This window comes from Homo sapiens, chromosome 2, assembly GCF_000001405.40.
Source record: "Homo sapiens chromosome 2, GRCh38.p14 Primary Assembly".
NCBI classification, from domain to species: domain Eukaryota; kingdom Metazoa; phylum Chordata; class Mammalia; order Primates; family Hominidae; genus Homo; species Homo sapiens.
This window is the reverse complement of record NC_000002.12, coordinates 205,900,383-205,911,986: the sequence shown is the minus strand read 5'-3', so window position 1 is coordinate 205,911,986 and position 11,604 is coordinate 205,900,383. Positions and strand designations below refer to the sequence as shown.

At 44.9% G+C, this 11,604-nt stretch overlaps 1 pseudogene; it reads right to left on the bottom strand.

Moving 5' to 3' along the window:
- On the bottom strand, positions 11,028 to 11,357 carry RN7SKP178 (RN7SK pseudogene 178; annotated as a pseudogene).

The window sequence follows — 11,604 nt, the reverse complement described above, 5'->3', positions numbered from 1 at the left end:
AAAATATATATCATATATACACATCAAAATGTATACATATGATAAAAAGTATCACCTAATCTGGAAAATATATCCTTTATTTAAACTAAGGAGAAGAATTTGGGGTATTCATTTAATGATGTAGAAGAGGAAAATCAAATATGAGACCATGACTTGGAGGTGAATTATATTGGTCATTCTAATGTTCTTTCTCTTTATTTAAAAAGTTTGCTGAGACTTGGGAGAAACTTCTTTAAACCTATAAGAATTTTCCAAGCATTTCTTATCCATGAACAATATTTCCAAGCATAACAACAGTGACTTGAGGCTTACTTTATATTGCTTTGATCAACTGAAAATACTTACTAGGTAGCCCCTACGGACAATGGAGAAAGTATACGACATTCCTTGTCCCTTCTCCCAGTCTGTAGTTATCATGCTTAGCAAGGCAACCCAGTAAGCTGCTTAAATGTGTCCTCCTTATCCTGAGAGCTTATCCTTTTGGCCATGAAGTGTGAAGCCAGTCCTGCAGGAGCCTCTGGCCAACTCAGTTGCCTGTAGTTAAGCCTATTTGTTCAGTAACATTTGGTCTTGGTTGAATGGCAGTGGCTACTCTTACTGTACCCAGGATCTTACTACTTTGACCCTCCATGGTTGCTCATTGGCATGATCTACACTTGGAAGATAGGTTACTGGGGTGTACGGCTCTGAAGTGACTTTCTCAGAGTCAAGAAATCAGAGGCCAAATCGGCAAGGCAAAATCTAAACCTGGAGGAGAATTCCCCTGACCCTGTAGCTCCACCACATTCTCATTGGAAGGTGGTACTGGCATCGGGGTCACGAACACTGGGAATCTGGAGTCAAATTCCCAGTTCTACCACTTCCTACTTGTGTATTCCCCTGGCATATCTGATTTTGCCCTCGCTGAGTGGAAGTAGATGTAGAGATTTATATGTGAAATAGACTCTGGGACTGCCAGAGTTTTGAAGATGTAGGCAAAGAGTCTTTCTAGGTCTAGAATGGTCAGGGCTCATGAGCTGTGTCTTTGGTGATAGTCTAGCAATGTCACAAACCCATCTGCCATCTTGTTCCTCATTTATGTCAGAGGAACAGGAAAACCATTAGGAGACAGAGATGGGAAAGAATGGGAGATTCCAGGTACAGAGAAAGAAAATGCATAGAGAATATTCTGAGATAGTTATAGTGAGTGTGTACCCTAGTTTCTCAGCCATTAGAGAATAGAAGACAGCCCACGGGATACTTAGATCCAAAGTGAAGGAAACTTCCTAGGAGCATGGATTCAGCTAATAATGACAATGGGGAATGCCAAAAGGCCCAAAGGTTTTTTTCTCTTCTGTCTCTTTGTATACTGTGTGCACCTGTGCACCCCACAAAGGAGCTTGGCTAAGGAGGAAAGTGGGAGCTGATCACCAAGTTGGGTTGCCCTGCTGTGGGGCTGAGTGTGCCAGGAGAAAGGGGTACCTCTACCCACTGCCATAGAAGTGCCTCCTATGCTCCCAGCCTCGCTCCCTGGATTCTAGCCACAGCACATGTCCAAAATGGGGTAGAGCCTCCAGATTGGTGACGCTGGATCATCAGGCTTCGGTGGGGGAGCTGTGTGCGCTTTTTTTTGGAGGGGCAGATCTGCCTTTTCGGCATTCCCTTTATACCTCTAGATGTTTCTGTCTCTTGCACTTAGAATGGTGTGTCCTCCGAATAAATGGGCAAAAACTTAGGGTGAGAAGAATTTTCTAGCAGAGACTAACGTGTTTAGCCAGTAGCTTCCTGGAGACTCCAGGTCTTTTCTTCTTCCGCTTGCTTCTGCTGCTCTTCTGTGTCTCTCTTTTCTCTTTTTTCCTGCCAGTCCCTGCAGGAGTCCTGCCAGCAGGATAAGCACTGACATCTCCCACGCTTGGCGAAATGGATCCTTTTTTTCCACGATGAATAGATGTGAATAAGAAGGAATTACATAGCTTTATGTTCTCCAAGAGGTGGATGAAACCCTTTCTTTCCTCCAGTTTCAGCGAGTGAAGAAATTAGTGAATAGAATTCTGAATTCCAGATTATATTTTTAAACTGCTGAGACCACCACCCTTTTTGTATGATGGGTTCAGTTAATAAAGATTTGCTCCATGAATCAAAAGGTCAAAATCTGGCATCCCGGAGTTTGCATGTTTCAATAGAGTGGGCTGTCTAAATCTCCTAGTCTCTCTGCTTTCTCCCTAGTTCATGCAAAGACTGAATTTTGTTACTGTATTAACTCCAGGTCCTTATGTACTATTATTCTAAATCACATGTTACAGAAGAAGAGAATTTCCAATATGCTGCATGGCATAAAATATAGCTCTAGCCCAACCGAGACCTTCTTGAGATGCATAGATAAAGAATTTGGGAGAAATGCCATGTGCTGTTTCAGGCTTGTCAGGCAAAACCATGTTCTTTGTAACGGTTGGATGACAGTGTCTCAGGAGAGATTTTATGGCTGCTGAACCTCCCCCAAGGGTGACATTAGCAGAGAACCGGGGCCTGGCCCCTGATCAAAATGGCCATCCAGGAGGCAACTACTGAAATATGCTCCCGGAAGAGACTTCCTGTCCGAACCAGAGGGTCCCAAGACAGCAGGCACTGAGGGCTTGGGGTGCCTTCTCGGGGCTGTGTTTACTCACACTCCCTGGACTGTGAGTAATAAACTTGGTTAACAACCTGGCTGGCAAGTTATTGCCAACCCAGCAGAAATAAAACAGAATAGGTTGAGCTATCACCGGGAAAAGAAAGCTTTCTAATTCTATCAATGTTATTGAGCTGTTTGAAATAAAGAATGGATCCAAAAAGGATTCCCCACCCCCAACGTTGGCCACATGTCAGTGCAGACAGAGGTCCTGTGGCTCATTTAAGTGACCGAGCCTGTAACGGGAGGCCTGAGAGCTCATGTTCGTGGTTGGGACTGAATCCTTAGCATTCAACAGAGGTGGAAAAATCACGATGTTGCTTCCCCATAACGGAGCACTCAAACCACAGAGAGTGTGTGTGTTTATGTGTCTGAGAGTTTTAGAGGGAGGGAGAAAATGCATGCATGACTTATATGAAGGCAGGGACACAGGCCAGAAAGAGAAGCTTAATAGCTGTTTAACCATTTTTAAACAAACCATAAAATCATGTTGACCAAAGGCCTATTGGGATTCCCCATGTCTGAACATCTTCTAGCAAAATTGTCTCCCAAATGAGAATTGATTAGCCAAGACCCACGCATTGATGTTATCAGAGAGTTGGGCGGGCTCCGCATAAGCGTGCGATTTCAGGTTAGCCCCCATTAGTGTGCTTATGCAATGCCCTCTGACAACAGCTGTCTGGGGTTTCTACCACAGAACCTTGGCGTGTTTCATGCTCTGTGCTCTGAGATTCCCTGGCCCCTAACAGAGGGGTAGCTGGCTCGTCACCGGAGAATGATATACTATTCCTCTTGTCAGCACAGGCAGCCCCGAGATACGTGGGAAAGAATTTTCAGAGACACCAGGGTAAGAGAATGAGCCATGTCTACCTCTCATCTTGGCAGCAGGAGTGTGTCTGAAACAGTCTGTGCTGCACAAAATTGTAGTTTATAGAGAGCATTTTGTTGATTCAGCCATAAAAATGTGACCTACAATATGTTTGTTGAAGAGAATGTGCTGCTGCTTTTTTATATGGAAGAATATGCTTTTCATGTTTCCAGCCAGCTTCTCCTAAAGAGAGTCCTTTGTGGGATTCTGGTTGTTTTTAAAGTTTCTTTGTATTTTGGGGACTGAGGAAGTGGTTCCTACAAAGTTAATTTGTAGGATCAGCTGTTCATGGACACCTGTAACTTAGGAAAAAGAACCAAGGTTGGGTGTTGTAGTTGGCTGAACAATGCCACCCCTGTCCCCAGGATAGCAGGTTCTAATCCTTGGAGTCTGTAAATGTTACCTTATTTGGAAAAAGGATTTTTGCAATTGTGATTAAGTGAAGGATCTCGAGATGGTGACATTATCCTAGATTATCTAGGTGGGCCCTAAATGCAATCACAAGTGTCCTTATTTGAGAAAGGCAAACAGAAAAGAAGAAGGCAATGTGACAACAGAGGCAGAGACTGGAATGATGCAGCCACAATCCAAGGAATGCCAGCATCCACCAGAAGATGGAAGAGGCAAAGAATGAATTCTACCCCAGAGCCTTTGGAGGGAGTATGGGCCTCCTGACACCTTCATCTCGGCCCAGTGATGGTGATTTCAGACTTCTGCCCTCCAGAACTGTGAGAGGATAAATTTCTATTGTTTTAAGCCACCAAGTTTGTGGTGATTTTTTAATAGTAGCCACAAGAAGATAATATAGGTGTTCTCTTCATTCATTATATTGATGTGAGATATATCCGTGTCTATATGGGTATATATGTACATATACACATACATATGTGACTATGACTTAGAGGAAGGCACGTGTTAAGCACTGTAGAGATGTTCTTAAGAGCTTGTAGTTCAGTACCTTGGTTAAGTGGAAGGGTCAGATTGCCTTAGGTTCAAATCTGTGACTTATTAGCTCTGTGATCTTAGACAAGTTAAATAACTTCTTTGGGACTTAGACAGGTCTTTGAAGATTAAGTGCAGTAATCCATGTGAAATCAGAGTGTCTGCCTGGGAGAAGTATGCTAGCCATACAGAAGTGGCTCTCGAGGCAGCCCCAGCTCCAGCAAAGCAGAATTGGACAATTTCCACATCTAAGGAATAAACTGTTTTAAGGAGACAAATGGGAAAGGAGTGACTTTTGGCTAAGGGATTTATGAAAGCATTAAGGATGAGGTAGCATTCAGGCCTAGGCTTTGAGAAGAGACAGGGCTTGGCCGGCAGAGATGGTGAGGTGGGGACAGGATGACAATCAGGTAAAGGAGATGGTCTGGAACAGGGGCAGAGTGAAGAAAGCCCTCAGTGTTTTCATGGTTTGGAAGGAGGGTTTGAGGGACACGGGAAAAAGCAGGTGAGACAGGTCAGGGCTTGGTAGAGAAGGGTCCTTGGGCTCCTCAGAATATTTGCTGCTCTACACAGCCACAGCATCTCCAGTGAAGTCATTGGTCATTAAACCCCCTGCTAGAAGCATGAGAAAATTCTCGGCATGGGTTGCTTACTGGAGTGAAAGGGAAAAGGAGTCCTCCATTTGCAAAGTGTCAGGAAGCCAGGAGTAGCCAGACACTCCCCACCAGGCTGGACTAAGCATTACTTTGGGCCTGGCAATTTGTGGCCAGGTTTTACAGTAATTGGAGTGATGCCTTTTTTCATCTACTAAGGAATCATTTTGCCCTGCCTTAACCACAGCTCTGGAATCTACACTATTTAGTGCATTCAAGTGTGCCCATTACATAGGTAAGTTATGCCAGGAGGCCTGGAACAAACGCGGAGGATAAGTGGGCTTTTTACAAAGCAAATAGCAAACCTGGCATCTCTCATGCAGCCTGTTGCAAGTTGGAATTCTCACGCAGTCTTCTGAGATTGAGGTGCCTACGTGTGCAGAAATGAAGGAAACGGGACTTCACACTTCACACGTTGAAATGTTTTGAAAGGGTGACTAGGGCACGAGAGCAGGCTATTCTAAAATAGAAGAGAATTGAGAGCTGAGGCCAGAAAGGCAGTGGACTACAAGTGGACATGATTCCTATGCTCAGAACTAAGTTTTTTGTTTTTTTTTCTTTTGGAGACAGAGTCTCGCTCTGTTGCCCAGGCTGGAGTACAGTGGCGCCATCTCGGCTCACTGTAAGCTCCGCCTCCTGGGTTCATGCCATTCTCCAGCCTCAGCTGCCCAATTAGCTGGGACTACAGTCACCCACCACCACGCCCCACTAATTTTTTTGTATTTTTAGTAGAGACGGGGTTTCACTGTGTTAGCCAGGATGGTCTCGATCTCCTGACCTCGTGACCCACCCGCCTCGGCCTCCCAAAGTGCTGGGATTACAGGCGTGAGCCACCACGCCCGGCCAGAACTAAGTTGTTTTAACAAAGTGAAGTATACGTACTTGTGTAGAATTTTCACTGTACAGAGTAAGACTGAAAAGAAGCCCCCGACCTGAAAAGACATTAATCCTTTTTTATCTGGCTAACACTGAAATTAACTTGCTTTATAACCAATGGGTGATAGTCCCTAGTGAGGCTGAGGTCTCAGAGATGTGGGGGAAGGCAGATGAAGCCAAGCTCTGCACCTTTACTTGGGAATTTGAGAAGGAAAGATTTGTCTCAAGTTACTGTGGATTCAAAATTCTCAACACAGAAGGTGGGGTTTCCAGTGAGATGTTTTGAGTGGGAGGTATGTCACTCTATTCCCTTGCTCAGCTAAAGGTAGGTGATTTTAAAAATGGCTTTATTTGTGGGGGAGGTGGGATATTTGAAAGAAGAGGGAAGAAGATACTTTTAGTGAAAGATTAGGCTGAATTGGTGGCAGTGGATCTTGGGGAAGCACGGTTGGGGAGAGAAGCACAGATGGAAGGAAACTCGGGAGATATTTTTGGCTCCTTCTGTCTGTCTTCTTAGCTGTTTATCTCCTTTTGTTATTTGCCCCTTTCCTGTTCTGAGTCTCTTCTTATTGGTGGGTTTCCTGCTGATAGCAGGCTTGCTAATTCTAGAACAAATCTAGACAATCTATGTTATAATATAGCCCAAGACCCAATTCTTTCCAATTTTTAGGATGTCTCCAAGCTTTCAGGAGAGGTTTATAAAAACCTTAGCTTTAAATAAACTATTAATACATGCAACAACATGAATGGAGATCGAATAATTATGCTGAGTGAAAGAAGTCAACCCCAAATAGTACATACTGTATCATTCCATTTATACAAAACTCTAGAAAATGCAAACTCACCTGTAGTAATAGAAAGCAGATGGGTGGTTGCCTGAGAAGTGAAGAGGCTGGGAGGAGGAGGGGCTGAGAAAGGGAGGGGCTCACACAGAGGTGATAAACATGTTCACTATCTTGATTGCAGTGATGGTCTCATGGGTATATACATAACCAAACTCACCAAATTGTACACTTCAAATATGGGCAATATTCTATGTCGATTATACCTCTATAAAGCTATTAAAATAACATTAGCTTCAGAGCATCAGCTATTTACACATGGGTCAAGGCAAGGAGAAGAGAATAGCCAAGTGGTCGTAAGGCCGTGTGGTAAGATCGGTGATGGAGCAACTGTGCAGAGACAGGACCTGTGTAGCTTTGTGGGGATGGAGGGTCAAGTTATACCTGCCCCATGCCTGTGATTAGAGAGTGACCTCCCGCCCTCTTGCTGACCACATAGCTGTTCCCCTTGTTCAGTTCCACACTTTGCAAGGAACAAGGGGGAGAAATTCATAAGCAAGAAAGCAGTATTCGTTCGACTGGAACCAGTGACTTTTCTGGCCTGTTTCCTTTTATTTGGCTAGTCCACACTCACACTCCACATACATCTGAGACAGAGAAGGGGCCAGAGGTGCTGGACCCCTAATGTGGCCCTTCACTTTTGCTGCCTCTGGTGCTCATACTTTGAGAAATGGGGAAAATGGAAGCTAATCTCTGAAATTCTTAATCTCACTGCATGGACCCTAAGTAGAAAAATATGGGCATAGATATTGTATAATCTAAAACTTTTTCAATGATTGCTAAAATACTTATTGAGTATGTATATATACTATGTGCCAAGCAAGATCCGTGCTTATAATTGGTAATAAAATGGTGAATGAGATGGAAATTGTCTCTCATAGTAGAGAGATGACAGCCAGGTGGGTACAGTAAGGACTGTCTGTATTGATAGTGGGCTATGGAAGAACAGAGAAGACACCCCAGATTTGGGGTTAGGGGAATCTTCTTAGGGTGAGATGAGAAAACATTTGAATTCCTCTTTATGAAAATATGGAGGACAACATTTTACAAGGAGGTAACTGAGTGCCCCAAAACACAAGATTCTGGAATACAGACACGGAGAAGGGTGGAACAAAAAGGATTCTGAGGCTGCAGCGAGGTCCTGGGAGAACAGTGCCCTAAGTCACAGCTGATCAGAGGCACCGGATGGAATGACATAAGGACAACATCACCACAGCACACCCTGCTGGGCTGTGGGAGCACCTGCTGGATGTGGTGACAGGCGGTACAAACATCCCCGTGGGGCCAGGCACGGTGGCTCGTGCTATAATCCCAGTACTTTGGGAGGCTGAGGTGGGAGGACTGCTAAGCCCAGGGGTTTGAGAAGCCTGGGCGGCATAGGGAGACCCATCTCTACAAATAATAATAACAACAACAACAACAATAAATTAGCCAGGTGTGAGGGTGCATGCCTGTAGTCCCTGCTACTCGGGAGGCTGAGGTGGGAGGACGACTTGAGCCTGAGAGGTCAAGGCTCAAACTGCTGCATTTCAGCCTGGACAACAGAGTGAGACTTTGTCTCAAAAAAATAAACCCTGTGCAATGGGTCTGAGGACCCAGTGACAAGGAAGTGACTACACGGAGACACGAACCACTTTCCCTTTTCACTTGTGGAACCGTGAAAAAAATCTAAGGCGGCTGGTACGGTGGCTCACGCCTGTAATCCCTGCACTTTGGGAGGGCAAGGAAGGTGGATCACTTGAAGTTAGGAGTTTGAGACCAGCCTCACCAACATGGTAAAACCCTGTTTACTAAAAATACAAAAGTTAGCTGGGCGTGGTGGCGGGTGCCTGTAATCCCAGCTACATGGAAGGCTGAGGCAAGAGAATCTCTTGAACCCGGGAAACGGAGTTTGCAGTGAACTGAGATTGCTCCACTGCACTCCAGCCTGGGTGACAGAGTGAGATTCTGTCTCAGAAAAAAAAAAAAAAATGTAAGGAAAAACAAGGGAATGTGGGCAAGATAGCCAATCAACTGCTAACACAGACCTAGACTCAAAAGGAAGAAAAAATCACAACTCAGCTGGATTTGTGATTCACAAAAAGTTGAGCCAGTAAAATGTATTCTCCAGAGTCCATGCCTGAAGTATAACTACAGTTCACAGAAATAATCATTCCGCGCACTCAGAAGGGCTTTCGTTGGGAGATGGTGGGCAAAGACGTCACTCTCGCTTTTCCAATGCTAACATGGCTTTCTGTGATGTCCAGGGCTCTCAGCCTGATCCAGGTAGGCTGCTTCGGCTGCCCGGAAGGGCGGGTGTTTTACAGTTTTCCACAAACTGCTGCTTCTCTTATCAGCATGGTCACTCTCTAGCTAATGAAAAACATCTCTCTGGTCCAAACATGACCTTGAGGTTTATCTAAATTGTTTGTTGCTCAGCAGAACAACATGTATCAGAAGTGAAATATATGCCAAAAGACACTTCTCATGCACCATTTATCTTTTCTGTAATTGATTCTCATGCAGGACAAATGCCCTGTGGGGATTCACAGAGGACTTAACACACTCTGCCATTATGATGACATCATCTCACAGAAGGCGGCCCTTCTGGAGGCCTGATAGATGACATGCTCTTTTTTCTAAGTGCTGCTCACAGCACTGAATTTAACTATGGGATTACAAGGAGCAACTGCTCCTATCACGCGTCCCCCACTTTGTTTTCTGACTGCACTGTCCAGCTAGCCCCACACTCCAATCAAAATGAAATTATTTCAAAATCCATACCCAATGGATTAGTCTTGCCAAAAGAAAGTCTGTAACAATACATATCCATCGACTTTCAGTTTGGGTCGGTGTTGAGATTTATTGTCTCTAGGCAAATATTGAGCTGGGTGAAGTTTCGGTCAGTTACATCCTTCTCAGTCAATAAATCTAAGTGTTGACTTTGGGAGGAGTCAGCGGCCATCACTCTGTGGCTTGTGAGCAGGCATTTGTGTAAACGGGTGCGTTTTAAGACTGTGAAGGTGACGCAGAGCCACAAAACCTAGTTCAAAACTTCCAGGACCCATGGGTTTCAGAGAGAGCACTTAAAGATGTACAATAAAACCTCCGAACCACGTGGCCAGAGGATGCTCCTGAATGTCACAAAGGTAGAACAGGCAACAGCCTGACTTTGAAGAATAGCCTAGGAAGAACAGGTCTCTATTGATAAAAACCATTACTGCAGTTATATATCATGATAATATTAATTACATAATCATTGAAATGGCCCTCCCGGATGTCATCCTCTGACCTGAGGGCTGAGCCACACAAGGCAGTTTAGCAGTAATTGGTAGTTTCTCTAGATGTGTTAAATGGAAGGGTGGGCAGCTAAACCCTGTCGCCAAGACTGGGTCTTAAAGCAGGCAGGCGGGCCTTGAGAGATGCTGTCAAGACTATTATACTGGCTGGGCATCACGGGTTCATTGCCAACTGCAAGAACATCACTCAGCTAAGCATATTTGTTTCTTGAAGCGGAAGCACACTGTTTTAGCCCTGAAATTGCATTAAAGATTCTTTTCAAGTTATGAAGAGGAAAAGGGAAAAGAAACATACTGCCAAAACATGCAGAGATTCTCAGCAGAGCCAATATATATTCTGTGTTAGTCAGGATGGGCTAGGCTTTTCTGCAGTAACAAATCTCCAAATCTTAGGGGCTGCATACTGCCTATTTCTCATTCATGTTACAGTCTGGCATAATTTGAGTGGCTTTCCTTGGTGGACTCCTTCACTCAGTGACTCAGGGATCAAAGCTCCTTCAATCTTACATTCCTACCATCTTAAACATATGGACTTCAAGTTGGTCACTGAAGAGAAAGAACTGGAGGATCACATAGTTTTGTTTGTTTGTGTGTGTGTTTTTAAGAAAAGTGGCTGGGTGTGGTGGCTTATGCCTGCAATCCTAGCAATTTGGGAGGCCAAGGTGGGTGAATTGCCTGAGCTCAGGAGTTTGAGACCAGCCTGGGCAACACGGTGAAACTCCGTCTCTACTAAAATACAAAAAATTAGCCAGGTATGGCAGCGGGTGCCTATAATCCCAGCTACTTGGGAGGCTGAGGCAGGAGAATCGCTTGAACCTGGGAGGCGGAGGTTGCAGTGAGTCGAGATCGTGCCACTGTACTCCGGCCTGGGTGACAGAGCAAGACTCTGTCTCAAAACAAACAAACAAACAAACAAACAAAAAACAAAAAACATACTGCCACATGCAGCACCTCATTTGGATGTGTCTGGAGCCTTGGAAGCTTCACTACCCAACATTTTCCTGCAAATGGACCTTGAGAGCTTGTTTGGAGGTTCTAGCAAGGGAATGCAGCTACTTATATACCCTTGACCAAATATTGGCCTTCTACTGGGGAAGGTTGTCTTCTTCAACCAAGCATGCAGCTTCAGGAGGGATGAACATGGAGTGGTGAGGCTCAGGAGGGCATACCCACCTAGCCAGCCAGATCAGCCGAATCAACCCTGGTGATCAGTGGGGTGACAGATGTTGCAGCCAGACCACCGTCACATCCTTGCATGGGTTGTTTTTTGTTTTTGTTTTTTTTGAGACGGAGTCTTGCTCTGTCACCCAGGCTGGAGTGCAGTGGCGTGATCTTGGCTCACTGCAAGCTCCACCTCCAGGGTTCACGCCATTCTCCTGCCTTAGCCTCCTGAGTAGCTGGGACTATAGGTGCCCGCCACCATGCCTAGCTAATTTTTTGTATTTTTAGTATAGACAGGGTTTCACCATGTTAGCCAGGATGGTCTCGATCTCCTGAT